The following is a 17,255-nucleotide window of genomic DNA, read 5'->3' as shown; positions in this document are numbered from 1 at the left end:
CTACTTTTTGGCTATTGTCAATAATGCTGCTATGAACATTCATTTACAGGTTTTTGTGTGGATATATGTTCTCGTTTCTCTTAGGTACATATTTAGAGGTGGATGGATGGTATCACTGTGTTTAACTTTTGAGGAACTGCCTCAGCAGTTCACACAGCAATTGTGCCATTTTACATTTACCCCTGTAATATATGAGGGTTCTAATTTCTCCACATCCTTGCCAATTTTAGTTATTTTCAGTTGAAAAACATTTTTTATCATAGCAATCCTAGTGGATATCAAGTATCTCAATATGGTTTTAATTTACATTTCTTTAATGACTAATGATGTTGAGCATCTTTTTATGTACTTATTGGTCATTTTTATATCTTCTTTGGAGAAATGTCTATTTAAATCCTTTGCTCATTTTAAAATTATTTATATTTTTATTGTATCTCATCTACTTTTCTCAAATTCCAAAAGAACATAATACAAAATTATGATGGTAAAGGAAGTATCTAATGTAGAAATACATAAACCATAGTACATGTTTAGTTCTCTTTTCCTGGAAGTTCTTTTTTTTTTTTTTTGAGACTGAGTCTTGCTCTGTTGCCCAGGCTGGAGTGCAGTGGCATAATCTCGGCTCACTGCAGCCTCCGCCTCCTGGGTGAAGCGATTCCCCTGCCTCAGGCTCGCGAGTAGCTGGGATTACAGGTTCACGCCACCATGCCCAGCTAATTTGTGTATTTTTAGTAGAGACAGGATTTCACCATATTGGCCAGGCTGGTCTTGAACTCCTGACCTAGTGATCAGCCCGCCTTGGACTCCCAAAGTGCTAGGATTACAGGTGTGAGCCAACGTGCCCAGCCTTTTTTTTTTTTTAAACAGTAATTTAAAGTTTATTCCAGCTATAATGCAGGTTATTCTGACTTTAAGGTAGCATCATATGGCATTCTTCTGAGTCCATTCCCGAGATATTCTGTTGTACTTTTACGTCTGTCTATTTTATGGATCCGTGTGCTCTCTGGCACTAGGGGGTCATCTGGGTTTGGATCACATAGCAGTGAACAAATGGATAAAAGAACTTTAGAAATAGTTTTAAAGCAGGCAACCACTGTGATCTTAGAATATCGAGACAAATGCTGCCATTACTGTTAATATTTGGATGACAAATCCTTGTTGTACATGCAACCTTAGGTGGTTTGAAGGAGCAGTCTGTAGGAAAATGAATTGCCAAAAAGAATACACCGCTTTGATATGGGCTGTCATTAGGTCCCATAATTGTGGCTTGCCAATGAAACATACCATCCTCAACTGGACCTGCAGAACATTGTGCTGGAGGGTCATGGGCCAAATCACTAAGTTCCTTATTAATCTGTCTTAGTGCCATAGTATGTGCTTGTCATCTGGCTCCTCACTCTCTCGGTATGTGCTCAAAAGTCTGGCCAAAACTCCTGGTTATCCCGGAGGTGGGACAGCATTGTCTCATCTCATACCGGCTCTGCCAGACACAAGCTCTTGGTATTGTGGAGACGACTCTCATGACAACTTTGTGGCTGGCTAACCAGAGCTGTAGCTTTGCAATGACTTAAGAGCAGTTTTTTGTGCTCTTCCGAATGGGGTTCCACCCCCAAATCCACAAATTCTTGCGAGATGCAGTGAGGTACCGGCTCGAACTGGAGCAGGCCACCGCCAGGCCGAGAAGTTCTTTCTTAGTGTCCATTATGTGATTCCTAATTATTCATTGAGTGATACAGTGAATATTCTACAAATTTAAAAGTTCTGTGAGTTTAAATACAACCTAATGCATTTGTTCTGGGAGTGATCAAAGCCCATGATTTTCACTGTCTTTTTTTTTTTTTTTTTGAGACAGAGTCTTGCTCTGCTGCCCAGGCTAGAGTGCAGTGGTGCCATCTCGGCTCACTGCAACCTTCGTCTCCCAGGTTCAAGCGATTCTTCTGCCTCAGCCTCCCAAGTAGCTGGGACTACAGGCAAGCGCTACCATGCCTGGCTAATTTTTGTATTTTTAGTAGAGATGGGGTTTCACCATATTGGCCAGGCTGGTGTTGAACTCCTGAATTTTTCTGAATTTTTCTGAATTTTTATATTAACTTTATTATAACAGTTGGGGTCATATCAGCCGAAAGACTCTAAAAGTATTTAAATAATTTAGGCTTCTGAATACTTCTAATTTATATCTTATTCTGACTTTTAAATTAGCCAACTTCTTTTGGTAAAATATATGTAACATGAAATTTATCATGGTAACTATATTTAAGTATATAGTTTAGTGGCATTACATCCATTTGCATTGTCATGCAGCCATCACCACTATCCTTAAGAACTCTGTCATCATCCAGTACTGGAACTCTGTACTCATTAAATAGTGAGTCCCATTTCCCCCTACCCTCAGTCCCTGGCAACCACTATTGTGCTTTCTGTCTGTATGAATTTGACTATTTTAGGTTTCTCATTAAGTGGAAGTATACAATATTACTCCTTTCTGTCTGGCTTATTTCATTTAGTATAATGTCTTCAAGATTCATCCATGTTGCAGCATGTATCAAAATTTTCTTTTTAAGGCTGAATGATCCAAAGTATGTGTATACCATAATTTGTCTATCCATTCGTCCATTGATAGATATTTGGGTTGTTTCTGCATTTTGACTGTTGTGAATAATGCTGCTATGAACATTGGTATATAAATATATGTTGTCTCTGCTTTCCAGTTCTTTTGTATATGTACCCATAGGTGGAATTATTGGATCAAATGGTAATTGTGTGTTTTAGCCAACTTTATTTTGTTTTGTTTGTTTGTTTTCTGAGACAGAGTTTCACTCTGTTGCCCAGGCTGGAGTGCAGTGGTGCAATCTTGGCTCACTGTAACCTCTGCCTCCAGGGTTCAAGTGATTCTCATGCCTCAGCCTCTGGAGTAGCTGGGATTACAGGCATGCACCACCACGCCCAGCTAATTTTTTCCATTTTTAGTAGAGACGGGATTTCGCCATGTTGACCAGGCTGGTCTTGAACTCCTGGTCTCAAGTGATCTGCCCGCCTTGTCCTCCTAAAGTGCTGAGATTACAGGCGTGAGCCACCACGCCCAGCCTTTACTGTGAATTTAGTTAAATCTTGGTTGTCCTTTATTGTTATATCCCATTTATTTTGTATGTATGAGGTGTATATTAAAATGAATCTGTAGCAGCTCTTTATCTGATTGTATTCTGAGGTAAAAATGCTAGTGTTAACTACCTAGAAGTATGTTTTATGTACCCATAATTGTCTATTCAAAAATAATTTTAAAATATATCACAATAAGTTATAGAGCATATATTTCGTCTACTAGGTTGGAATCAGTGTTGGCTCCTTGCTACTCCTGCTTATCCATGTTGCTTCAAGCATCTAGTAATAATGTATAGAAAGAACCAGATAAAGTAGTTTTAAATCCTGTTTATTTCTTTTAAAGCATGTGGTTTTAATGGCCTCTCTTCAACACAGTCTCCAAGGGAGGTAACATCTGAGTTGGCTAAGTAACAAAGGGAAGGGTGTTTGTGTGTCTCTGAAGCCCATGTTCTTTCTGTTCCTTTCCTTTTTGTAGTTAAAAATGTCTTATTAAAGAATAGATTTTAATTATCTCTAAGTTGGGTTTTATGAAGGAAGTCTCATTTTAGTATATATAGATTGTACAGAATTGGCCACAGACAAATCTTAGAAGGATAAAATTAGCATTCTTGAATTAAATTTCTAAAGGAGGCTTCAGGTACAATTTAATATACATGTAAATGAAAATTCCTACACATTGATAGGGCTTTCTTAAAAAGGTTTGAAAGTTTTGATGCTTTGTGATTTTAAAATACATTTGCTATCTACTTAAGCTTAAAAGCCTTGAAGTGTTTCCTATTAAAAAAAAAAAACTCTAATAAGAAACTAGTGTCTACTCATAGAGGGGTGAAGAAGGCAGATAACTTGAAGCAGAGCATAGGTTTTGAAAAGACGGAGGCCAGTGTAAAATTCATGGGAGAAAACTAATTTCTCTAGATTGTTAGTGGTTACAGCTTACGGTTGGTAGATTACAATTTACTTTGCAGGGGTTTTTCTATTAAAAGACCAGTTACACAGACTGGGAAATTGCCACAATTGGAATAGTTGAGTAGCAGTTAACTATTTAACTCTCTCTGCTTCTTAGAAGCCTGCTGTGACTTTGCCAGGCAAAACTAATTTCTCCCTCCTACATGCTTCCTTCCCATAAGCATTGTGTCTCTGTATTCTTCAACTTTGTGAGCTGCTTTAGGGCAGAGATGTCATACTTTACTCTGTATTTTCAGCACCTAGCATAATTGCTTAATGTAGTAGATCCTTTTAAACATTGGTTGAGTTTATTCTTACTATGAGACTTGGGCACGAATATAACAACATGGGAAGACAACAACTATAGTTATCAGAGGGGATAGTCTGAATCAGAGTTAGGATGTGACCAAGGACAGAGGAAACCATTCCACTACCATATAGAAAGCAGACAGAAGATTTCTAAGTTTCATGTGGCACATTAAGCTATTTCCTTATCTCATTTCCTTGATACTGTGACCTATGCCCTGCAATTCATTTGTTTTTTTTTAGCAGACCTTGAGGCATAAAAGTTGTGGGGTGAGAGAAGCATGGAATTTTAATACAACATAATAAAGCCGCAATAGAGACATGGGTATAGAGCCTTACTTTATGAAAGAGGGACTGGGGAGAATCTTCATAGAAGGTAATATTTTACTGAATAAGAGAAAGGAGAACAGCTCCTGCCAAACAGTTTGTGAAGAGAGGCGTAACAGAACACAATAGAGTCCAGGAATGGAGAGAGATGGGATGCACCCAGTACACGTGGAGCAAGTAGAGTAGTCCCCACCCCTCCAATCCATGGGAGATACATTCCAAGCCCCCCAGCAGATGCCTGAAACTGTGGATAGTAGCAAACCTGATTGCCATCAATCAGAACACATTTCTATTCATGTTTTCCACCTACAAATGTAATGCCTTTTCCATCTTAACTATCATGCACTGTGGCTGTAACTTTTGCCGTTTGAGGTGCGGCAGCAAAACTAGCACAAATTTCTTTTTCCTTCTTCACAATTTCATGGATAGAAGATTTGTTCTTACCATAGATCTTAGCAACCTCAGTGCATGATTCTTTTTTCTATTAAGGTAGAACGTTCACCTTTTCACTTAAAGGAAGCACTGTGTGGCTTCTCTTTGGCATACCTGAATTGTCAGAATTACTCTTGCTCTTTGGGGCCATTATTAAATAAAATGAGGATTACTCCAACACAATCACTGTGATTTGATAACTGAGACAGCTAACAAATGGGTAGCATAGACAGGATGGATATACTCGACAAAGGGATGATTGACGTCCTGAGAGATTTTATCATACTACTCAGAATGGCGTACAATTTAAAACTTATGAATTGTTTATTTCTGGAATTTTCCACTTAATATTTTTGTACCTTGGTTAACCATGGGTAACTGAAACAACAGATAAGGGGGGAACTACTGGACTTGGAAGTAAGGTGGGGACCTGACTGTGAGGAGCCTTATTTCAGTTTTACCTTTCTTCTTTCTGTTCCTCCCTTTGTGCTGTTCTGTGGAATTTTTGCTTTAACCATAAGTAATAAGGAGTTGGTGGAGGATTTTATGCAGTGGAATGATGTGATCAGAAATAATACATTTTGAAAGGCTGATTTGTCCATCATATAACCATGTAGAAGATAAATTATAAGGCAGATTCTGGAAGTAGGCAGATGGATTTGGAGGTAACTGTAAGCAAGAGATGAAGAATTCCTATGGTATGATTCCATGTATATGAAATGTCCAGAATAGGCGAATGCATGGACACAGAAAGTAGATTAGTGGTTGCCAGGAGCTGGGAGAAAGGGTTAATGGGGAATGACTACTAATGGGTACCAGGTTTCATTTTGGGGTGTGAGAATGTTCTGGAATTAGTCATGATGATTGCACATCCTGTGAGTATACTAAAAACCACAGAATTGTATACATTTATTTATTTATTTTTGAGACAGCGTCTCACTCTGTCATCTAGGCTGCAGTGCAGTGGCATGATCTCAGCTCACTGCAGCCTCCACCTTCCAGGTTCGAGTAATTTTCCTGTCTCAGCCACCCAAGTAGCTGGGATTACAAGTGTGCACCACCACACCTGGCTATTTTTTTTATTTTTAGTAGAGACAGGGTTTCATCATGTTGCCTAAGCTGGTCTCAAACTCTTGGCCTCATATGATCCTCCTGCCTTGGCCTCCCAAAGTGCTGGGATTACAGGCCTGAGCCACTGCATCCAGTCGGAATTGTATACATTTAAATAGTGAATTTGATGATATGTGAATTCTGTCTCAATTTTAAAACAGAGGTGGGGAGTGGGGAGATGAAGAGTTCCTGAAATGAGCAGGAACAGTGAGAATAAAGAAAGCTGAGATGGGTTTGATAGAGACTCAGTGGTAGAGAATTGTCAGTACTTGGAGACTGATTATTGGCAGTGTCCAAAATGAAAGAGAGGTTGGCTCTGAAGTTTCTAGTTTATATGATTGAATCAATGGGGAAAAAATTCTGGAAAAAGAGTAAGTTTGGAGAGGCATATAACAAACTGTATGAAATGTGTTGAGTGTGTAATCAAACAAGAAGTTAAAGGTAAAGGCCCGGATTTGAGGAAAGACTTAGGAACTAGAGAAAGAAATGAGTTTATAAGAGTTGATTAAAACAATCAATCAAACTTGCTTGCTGATAGATAATATCTTCTCCTGCCCACCCCTTTTGCGTGGTAATGTCCCATTCTTTATTTTCAAATCTGGTGTACAGGTTGTTTTTGTTTTTGTTGTATAAAGCTGAGTTTTATATTACTTTTCAGGCAGAGGCAAGGCTGGCAGCAAAACGGGCTGCCCGGGCAGAAGCAAGAGATATACGCATGAGAGAACTGGAACGACAACAAAAAGAGGTAATTTGAGGGAATAACCCTAATTTCATATTTGTCTCCCCCAAAATCAGTACTTGGCTAGTTTATTCTGATGTGAATCTGGTTTCCTTTGAAACATTGAAAATAGTATAAACTGATGTATGTATTTTATCAAGCCATTCTGTGCCAGCAAATTAAATGTGATATTTGTTTTAAGTAGTAACAACAAACACATTTATAGCTATTATCGTGTCCATTGTTATAAGTTACTAGTATTATGAGTGCTTCACTTACATTAGCTAAGGTAGCTTTAGCAATGACAAAGTGTAGTATAGCTTTAATTGTCCTAAAATTTGGATTAATTATATTATGATATCTATATAGTAAAACACTGTAAAGTCATTCAGACTTACAATTTTAAAACATATTTAATAATAGAGGAAAATATGTAAGAATATGAGATAAAAGCAAACCAAAACAATAAAATTTGTAGGACCCCAATTTTATATTACAAAAACCAGTATCCATATATAGCATCAAAAAACTACTAGAAGGAAGTGATTATTAATACTGCAGTTTGTCTATGGTGGAATTATTGTTGGTTTTTCTTTCTTTCTATACTTTTCTATAATTTACAAACTTTCAGTATACTTTTATCAGAAAGGAAAACAAGAAAAAAATTTTTAAGAATAGGCATATGGAAATTGGGCTGATTAAAATGAAATAAATATGCTTTTACTTTTCTGACATTGACTTGGTCCTGAAAATTCCCATAATAAATATTTTTGATGTTGTAGTAGTATGAAGGGGCAAAAGCCTATGGGACAGTATTAAACACTTTCTTTTGATTTTGGTGGTGAATTTTCTGTGAGCAGGTTAAAAAGCAATGTAAATATTTTATATTGTCACAGCTCAAGAAAAACACTAACAATTGACATGTTGCTAATTTTCTTTTAACCTCATGTATAGTTTCAAATATGGAATGCAGTTCTTGAAGAGGAAGTGTTGCAATCCGTTGTCTTTTTACTCCTAAAATTATACTAAATATAATAATAAGTGGATAAGCTGAAGTGGAGGATCACTTGAGCCTGGGAGTTTGAAGTTGTAGTGAGCTATGATGGCACCACTGCATTCCAGCCTGGGCAACTAAGTGAGATCCTGTCTCAAAAAAATAAATAAATAAATAAATAAGTGAATGAGACAGTTATTAAATGTAAGTTCTATTTACAGTTCTCTGAACTACAGGGAAACATGCATCTCTTACTATTGAACATATTTAGCTTACTAATTTTCTGTATTTTGAATGTGTAACTTTGAGTCAGCTATCATTGTTTTTTAGGGAAAATGTGTATGATTAATTTAAGGTTTTTGGAGAATGCAATATGTTAGAAACTATTTGGTTTATGAAATTTTTGCATTTCTAGTACTCTCTTCATTCCTTTGATCGGAAGTGGGGACAGATTCAGAAGTGGCTGGTAGGCCAGTATTGCCTGTCCTGCATGTTGTGATCAATTGCTGAAATAATGCAGTCTTGAAGTAAAACATTAACTAATAGTTTGCAAAGTAGGAGTGTTTGGCCTGTGTGAACCTAAAGGTCAGAGTGTCTATTCTGTCTATAGTGGACCAGAGGTATACTTGGAGTCCTGCCATTTTATGTTGTAGTCAGTATCCTCACCTTCATCTCATGAATGCTCCTGATCAAGAAAGAGTGAGAAAATGAATGTGTGTTTTCTTTTTATGGGTTTGTTCTTTTCTTCCCCCCTTCTCTCTCCCCTTTTTTTTTAAAAAAATAAGTCCACATGGTCTTCATTGAAAGATGACCCAAGTAATTCTTTTCATTTCCTCTGAAAATTACTCTTATTATATCAACTCCTTCAGGTCCTTTTTAAATTCTCTACCACTACTCTCAAATTTGTTAGCTATAAAAACAAATTGTGAATCAGTAAAATGTTAGATAATGTGAATCATTCCTAAATTTGAACTTTTTTTTAGGCTTGGTAAGTTCCCCACTGTCTCCTATTACAGGGCTTCTTAACTTGGTATATGACTAGGCTTGGGAGAGGGATATGAAGCCTTAAATTCTACTGCAGACTTTCAAATGTAATTATTTTTATGGGAAATGCCCACAGGTATTTTTATTGTCAGATTCTCAAAGTAGTCTGTAATTCCTAAAGGGTTAAGAACCACTGTCTGATTGCTGCTAAACAAGCAACTTTCTTTCTTTCTTTCTTTCTTTTTTTTTTTTGAGATGGAGTTTCGCGCTTGTTGCCCAGGCTGGAGTTCAGTGGCACAATCTCAGCTCACTGCAACCTCCGTCTCCTGGGTTCAAGCGATTCTCCTGCCTCAGCATCTCAAGTAGCTGGGATTACAGGCGCCCGCCACCATGCCCAGCTGATTTTTGTATTTTTAGTGGAGACAGGGTTTCATCGTGTTGGCCAGGCTGGTCTCGAACTACTGACCTCAGGTGATCCGCCCGCCTCGGCCTCTCAAAGTGCTGGGATTACAGGTGTGAGCCACCGCGCCCAGCCAAATCTTTTTTTTTTTTAAACCTCTGTGAAATTTGTATAGTTTAGGCAGTGAGTACGCTAGATTTTCATTGAAAGGGGTGACCTTTGGGCTAGAGTTTTAAAATTCAGGTAGTGACTAATCCAAGTCTTGATTTATGGGCAGGACTTGGACCTGCAGAGAAAGTGGCATTTCTTTTCAGATGGGAATAATTATCACTTCTAACCCGTTCTGACACTTGCTTTTACCCTGTTAAAACTGATTCTTTGGGTCTGGGCATAGTGGCCCATGCCTGTAATCCCAGCACTTTGGGAGGCCGAGGCAGGTGGATTACCTGAGGTCAGGAGTTTGAGACCAGCCTGGCCAACATGGTGAAACCCCGTCTCTACCAAAAATACAAAAATTAGCCAGGCACGCTGGCGGGCGCCTGTAATCCCAGCTACTCAGGGAGGCTGAGGCAGGAGAATCGCTTGAACCTGGGAGGTGGAGGTTGCAGTAAGCCAAGATTGTGCCACTGCACTCTAGCCTGGGCAACAGAGTGAGACTGTGTCTCAAACAAACAAACAAACAACAACAACAACAACAAAAAAACTGATTCTTTGGTGTGAGTTGGTTGAAGGTAAACAAAATAAATAAAAAGAAAAAGAAAAAAAGAAAAAAATTAAACTGATTCTTCTGCTCATTTATCTTTGTCTCTCTGGCTGCTTTATCTGTGAGCCCATAAGGAGAAGTTGGCATGTAATAGTTACAATACAAAATATAAATGGCTAATGTTTATAGTAAAATAAATGATGCATACACACACAATCCACAATAGGATTGTCAGTTACTAGAAGGAAGGAAATTTTCCTATATTTGTAATTTCCCCTAATTATAATACCTTTTTTTGGGTGGGAGTGTGATGTTGGGACATGAATAGGGAATGAAAAGGAAGGAAGCTCAGAAATGAGTCCAACTTTGAGTGCATACTGTATATCAGCACTGTGCTAGGGCTTTTTACATAGGTTTTTATTTCACATTATAAGACAGTATTACTGTCTCAATTTTATAGACATGTTTATAAAGAATTGGTGAAGTAAATAACTTGCATAGTCATTGGCAGAACCAGTATTTGAAGGTATGAGAGAGTGCCACACCTGGTAATGTGCTGGAAGGTGAAAGGACCAGGAAGAAAAGGACCCACACCTTCCTGGGCCTCCCATTAGTGTTAGTTTAGTCAACTTTCCATGAACCCAATGATTCTATTTTTAAACTGGGTGTCTTTCTTAATCAGTGGTGATTCTGAAAGAGTAAATGCATGTCTTGAAGAGTAAATACGGTTTTTGAAGTTCCTTCTAATTTGAAACTGAAGGAATGACTTTGGTGTCAACTTAGTAACAAATACTATTTGTTGACAGAAAAGATGGCCAGGTATATTCATGGGACTGTGGTTTTCTTTTAATAGAACCATTCATCCTCCCTTCAGGTGAACGTTTAAAAACAAAGAGTATATTTCATTTTCATTAAATGTATCAAAACAGCATTTTGAACAAATACATGTCTTTTTTTTTTTAAGGCGTTGTACTGTTTGTCCAGTCTTTAGTGCTTTAGTGCTAATAAGGACTTTTGGGATAATGACGATGTATTATTTTCCTCACTGTGGAATAGAGGGATACACCTTGTAACTGGCACCTAAGAACACAGTTTGCTGTAATCTGTTATCTTTGTCCACTGGTATAATTTCTTCAAGAGAAACCTATTGGCAATATAAATAGTGCTCTAGAAATACCTGGCAAATGAAGCTTTTTGTTCTTCCAGAGAAGGAAGAATCTCTGAGTAAAAACCAGAATACCTTGCCATTTTCTTTCTTTCTTTTTTTCTTATGTAATTGGTGGAAATTTAGCCAGTATAGGATGTTATCTTTACAGTTCAGTTGTCTGGTGAATAAAAACGTCTAAATGCTGGTCTCAGCTTTATGATCTCATAGATTCTTACTTAATCCTTCTGTGCTGCAACTTTCTTACTGCAAAATGAAGGGGTCAGACTAGATGATCTCTAAGGACTCTTCTAGCTCTTAAAAATAGAATTGCTACCAGGGTCACTTTATATCGTTGCTACCAGGGTCTGTTTCCCTCATGTTTGCCACTGTGCAAAAGTATTCAAGGTAGAAGTAATTAAAAATGACCCAAATGTTTTGCCTTTCTATATGAGAGTGGTCCTACTTAGCAGGCTCTTAGTAGAATATGTGTTTTGAACGTTTTTGGTATAATTAAAATTTGCCTTGAGCTTGCCTTACAGTTTTACGTAAACACATTTGTCAAATAGGTTTAGAGAAGTGCTGTCAAGTATGGTAGCCCCATGTAGGTAATTAAATTTAAATTTAAATTGACTAAAATTAAATAAAATTTAAAATTTGGTTTCTCAGTTGCATTTCAAGTGCTCAGTAGCCACGTGTGGCTAGTGGGTACTACATTAGCACAAATATAGAATATTTCCATGGTCAGAGAAAGTTGTATTGGACAGTGCTTATTTAAGGTATAGTTTGTGACTGTGGAATAAACTATACTCTTTGTCCAAATTAACTGACCTGTATGGGGGTTTATATTTTATTCTGTAGTTTTCAGAAGTCTTTTTAGGCCAATTTTTCAAATGGAGCAAGAAAAGCTGTTTAAATATAGAGGTACTATGTATCAATACTTAATAAGGTATTTTAATTTATAATTGTTTTTATTAATATAAGGGGCATAATTGAAAGTATGACTTCATCTGTCTTTGCTGCATCTTTAATGGGATATGCTCTTTAGGTGAGATTTTTGAAAATGCTCTGTGTGATAGATGGAATGGAAAAAAGGCTAGAATAAAGGGAAGATTAGACATTAAACCGTATTTACCCTAGTACCTCAAATAATATTGGAAGAGGCATGTTGAGTTAACTCACCTTATAGTAAAGGCTTTTTGAACTAACCAAACTAAGTAGCCTAGAACTGATTACCACTTACTAAGCTGTACCTGCCCTTCTAGGCTAACACACATGCCCCCAAAACTTTCGTGGTTGATAAAGAAAGGGAAGAAATTTTCTTGGCTTCTTGCAGACTACATGTGTCTATTGCATAATAAAAAATGTAAATCAGTGGCCAGGCATGGTGGCTCATGCCTGTAATACCAGCACTTTGGAAGGCCGAGGCGGGCAGATCCCTTGAGGTCAGGAATTCGAGACCAGCCTGGCCAACATGGCGAAACCCCATCTCTGCTAAAACAAAAAGTAGCCGGGTGTGGTGGTGGGTGCCTGTGGTCCCAGCTACTTAGTAGGGGGCCAAAGCACGAGAATTGCTCGAATCCAGGAGGCTGAGGTTGCCATGAACTGAGGTCGCGCCACTGCATTCCAGCCTAGGCGACAGAGCGAGACTCCGTCTCAAAAAACAACAACAACAACAACAACAACAACAACAAATGTAAATCAGTGACGAATTCCTAAAGATCAGAATACCTGATTAGAAATTGAATCATAGTAGTGCTTATAAACAGACTTCAGCATACATTTGGTCAAGGGCATCAGTCACAGCAGATGTCAACCAGGGAGTTTTGAGGCATTGATTCATTTTGCAAAAATACAGCATTGATAAGCTATGAACCCAGTTGGTCAGTAATGTATAGATTTTCAGTCAGCACACATTACTTTAACACTTTGGACTTGAAATTCTGAAAGATCAGAAATTCCTTACTGTTTGAGATGATTAGGTTTTAGGGACTAGCCATTTTATCTCACATGACTCAGGCCTTAATGCTCCATTGCTAATAGCTAAATGTGGAAAAGTTTAGAATTACATTTAATTTAGTCAACTGTTAGGCTGCAATCATTTTTTTTTAAAAATCTGCTTATGGCATTATTCGAGATAACTTGACCAACTCTAAAATATATATGTAATTACTTCTAGATGTAAGTAGTTTTTCATATTAACAACACAATCAGGCTCTGTTTCAGTTAGTTCTTAGAGTGGTGAAAAAAAATCTTTACAGTAAGTGCAAAATTATAATCCAAGTATTTTTAGAATCATATACTGTCTTAAAATACATCAGTGATAATGTTAACACTTCTTCCTACCTGCATAAACTGATGATCACAATGAAAAAATAGATTAATGTCTTTTTTTAATGCTGAACTCAAGTTCTCTTTGTTAAGTATACTTGCACATTTTTATCTTGGTATATTGAACTCTCTTGGTCTTATACAGACCATTCCAAGTGGTCTGACATACATACGCCTGATAAAATAGGAACATTGCCAAGATTATTTCTACTTTCTTTCCAACCAAAGAATGTGACCGCCCCACACATACACACCATGGAATACTATGCAGGCATAAAAAAGGATGAGTTCATGTCCTTTGTAGGGACATGGATGAAGCTGGAAACCATCATTCTCAGCAAACTGTCGCAAGGACAAAAAACCAAACGCCGCGTGTTCTCACTCATAGGTGGGAATTGAACAATGAGAACACTTGGACACAGGAAGGGGAACATCACACATAGGGCTTGTTGTGGGGTGGGGGGAGGGGGGAGGGATAGCATTAGGAGATATACCTAATGTAAATAATGAGTTAATGGGTGCAGCACACCAACATGGCACATGTATACATATGTTACAAACCTGCACGTTGTGCACATGTACCATAGAACTTAAAGTATAATTAAAAAAAAAAAGAAAGAAAACTAGTACTGCTATATTGAAACTTACACACACACACACACACACACACACACACACACACACACACACACGAATGTGGCTGCCCCTAAGATAAGTTATCCAAACCTGCCTGCTCTCAGGAGTTGTTGCTGTGCTGTTAACTGACTGCTCTTTGCTCAGTTGTTCTGATAAACAACTGTCTATTCAGTGATTAACTCTCCATGTACTTTCTCCTTTCCCAGGAAGATTCGGAAAGGGCCAGGTATTCCCACCGGTCCAGTCACCATCGTCCTTATCTGGTTTGTAATAACCTATACACTTGCCTCTAATACTTTTCCTCATTAGCTTAATGTAATCACTCACAAACTTTTACTGTGTTTATTTTCATTTTTATCAGGGAGTTGAGGATGCATTGTCCATTCGAAGTGTTGGCAGTCACAGGGTTGGTATTTTAACTTGTCTACACAATACAAAGCTTACGTGTGAGCTTTCTTCAATAATGTTGCCTAAACAATCTGACAATGTTCCTGTATTTCTTTGCGTTTTTAAAAGAAGTATAAAATATTGGCAAAGACCTTTCATTGGAAAATGATGCTTTCTTTCAAATTATTGTCATAAGTAAATCAACTCTAAAATCATGAATACTTTAATCTATTAACATGGGTCCAATCTCTTTTTCTATAGAAGGACCTTTGATTTTGGAAAAGTATCACAAAATAATTAAGATTGATCTTGTAGAATAACATTTGTTTGGTTCTAACTTTCAGACTTTCCCTACTTTCATATCTTAAAAAATGACAATTAAATGCAAAATAGCTTTGGGGCTTGGATGATTAATTGTAATTTTATTATGTGGAAAATTTGAACAACTGATTTGAAAAGTTCTCTGAATATGTATAGGAATTATCATGCTTTGACATTTTGATTAACATTTTATAGAATGCCCCAGGTTGTTTTTTGCATGGATTGTTATAAGTCAGGAGGAAGGAGAAGTTGCTCCTTAAAAACCCTTGTATTATGCCAAGACCCTAATTTCTGTCTTAAAAAAGTATGCTTTACACCTTAAAGCAGCACTTTTATTTTGCACATTGATAATGCTGTATGTATACTTTCTTTTTTTCCATTTTATTTTATTTAAAATTTTTTTTATTTTAATAGCTTTTAGGGTACAATTGCATTTTGGTTACAATGCTGTATGTATACTTCCATGTAGTTTTCTTAATCAGTAAAATGATCTTTCATGTTAAAGTCTCTATTTGTTAGTTTTCCCTGACTGTAATTTTCTTTCTACCTTGTATAAATGATAAAAATAGACTCTAATAAACTGAGTGTGCTCTGGCATACTAGTTATTGACATGTTTATATTCACAAATATAAACTCCAGGCTGGCTGTTTTTCTTGGTGAATGTTCTCCAGGCTGGTTATTTTTCTTGGTGAATGTAATGTACTGTCTTTTTAGAGTAAGTTACTAAGCTGGTTACTAAATCAGGAATATTTTAGTTATAAAACTTTAGATTTTTAAGAATATTGGCCAGGCACGGTGGCTCACACCTGTAATCCCAGCACGTTGGGAGGCCAAGGCGGGTGGATCACCTGAGATCGGGAGTTCAAGACCAGCCTGGCTAACATGGTGAAACCTGTCTCTACTGAAAATACAAAATTAGCCGGGTGTGGTGGCGCATGCCTGTAATCCCAGTTACTTGGGAGGCTGAAACAGGAGAATTGCTTGAACCTGGAAGGCGGAGGTTGCCGTGAGCCAAGATTCGCCATTGCACTCCAGCCTAGGCAACAAGAGCAAAACTCCATCTCAAAAAAAAAAAAAAAAAAAGAATATTAACAGATCTTTACAGAAATCTAAGATAATTGGCAGCTTATAAATGATTTTACAGTAGAAAAATTTTAATAGTGAATTCATCATACTTCTCCCTGGAGATATAGTACTTTGTTTTTTTCTCTTTAAATATTTTGAAAAGGCCGGGAGCGGTGGCTCACATCTGTAATCCCAGCACTTTGGGACACTGAGGCGAGCAGATCACCTGAGGTTCAGAGTTCCAGACCAACCTGGCCAACATGGCAAAAACCCCTGTCTCTACTAAAAATACAAAAATTAGCCAGGTGTAGTGGCTCACGCCTGTAATCCCAGCTACTTGGGAGGCTGAGGCATGAGAATCAGTTGGATCCGTGGGCGGAGGTTGCAGTGAGCTGAGATCGTGCCACCGCACTCCAGCCTGGGTGACAGAGTGATACTCTGTCTCAAAATAAAAATTAAAATAAATATTTTGTAAAGAATCATGCAGGGAGTCAGTCAATAAAAGCTTTAAAGTTAAGTCTCAAAGGCTGTGAAAATAATCCTCTTCTTGTATTTATGGCTTTTTCATTTGCTTTTCATTATAATGTTCGCAGTGTGTATTTTCACACAGTTGTTATTAAGCCGGTTATTTATAAATTTGTATGTGGCCTTAGGAAATTTGATTATATATTTGTTTAACTTAAAGGTAGAACCAGCAAAATTTGAACATTTGGGGGCCTTTAAAACAAATCTGCAAACAAAAAAGGAATCTGCAGTTAAACCGATAATAACTATATACCAGAATGTATATAATCAGGATGATTTTATTTTTATGGCATTTGTATCATTAAACAAATTTAAGATATAACTCCAGTATTTAATTTCATTATGTTGATTTTGAAAATTTGTTACTATGGGATAGAATAAAACTCCCAGTATTTAAAAACGTCAATGTATAAATGTAAAAATTAATAAAAGTTTTACATCCTAGAGGAGATTCTAGTACATTACTCTCTGTGAGTGCACATCTAACACAGTTTAAATGTTTAGACTTTCCTGGAAACAAGTCTGAAGGCTCACTACTAATTTCATTTAAAAGAAATATAATTGAGATAAAACTTTTTCTGTTTTACCCAAATAATATTGTGAGTTCTAAGTTTTCATCAAATTATTTGCTTTTAAAATAATTTTTCCATTAAGCTGAATTGTTAGACAACTTTTGTCCTCTGTAGATGGCCTAAACACTGACCTAAATTTCCTTGTGGTTTGCTATATAATTTTGGAGTTATGCATTTCTCAGCCAGTTATTTTTAAAAACTTAAGGCCGTGTACTAAGAGGTCTAATACTTTTTGAACGTAGTATTTGATGTTTG

At 37.1% G+C, this 17,255-nt stretch overlaps 1 protein-coding gene and 1 pseudogene across 55 annotated transcripts in view; one reads left to right on the top strand and one right to left on the bottom strand.

The window, feature by feature from the left end:
- Positions 1 to 17,255, top strand: part of LRRFIP2 (LRR binding FLII interacting protein 2) — a 123,735-nt gene that overhangs the window by 40,334 nt on the left and 66,146 nt on the right. For 21 of the 55 annotated variants that reach the window (XM_017007472.2, XM_005265551.2, XM_047449202.1 and 18 more), the window contains 4 exons: positions 6,878 to 6,964; positions 8,347 to 8,397; positions 14,336 to 14,392; positions 14,491 to 14,535. In XM_017007472.2, the coding sequence (XP_016862961.1) occupies positions 6,878 to 6,964; positions 8,347 to 8,397; positions 14,336 to 14,392; positions 14,491 to 14,535 (240 nt within the window). The remainder of the gene's footprint in view (positions 1 to 6,877; positions 6,965 to 8,346; positions 8,398 to 14,335; positions 14,393 to 14,490; positions 14,536 to 17,255) is intronic. The other 34 variants (XM_024453826.2, XM_017007473.2, XM_017007479.2 and 31 more) reach the window with 3 other exon arrangements.
- Positions 863 to 1,676, bottom strand: UBE2D3P2 (ubiquitin conjugating enzyme E2 D3 pseudogene 2; annotated as a pseudogene).

This window comes from Homo sapiens, chromosome 3 (assembly GCF_000001405.40).
Source record: "Homo sapiens chromosome 3, GRCh38.p14 Primary Assembly".
Taxonomy (NCBI): domain Eukaryota; kingdom Metazoa; phylum Chordata; class Mammalia; order Primates; family Hominidae; genus Homo; species Homo sapiens.
The sequence above is the reverse complement of the archived record's forward strand: the minus strand, read 5'-3'. Positions and strand labels throughout refer to the sequence as shown.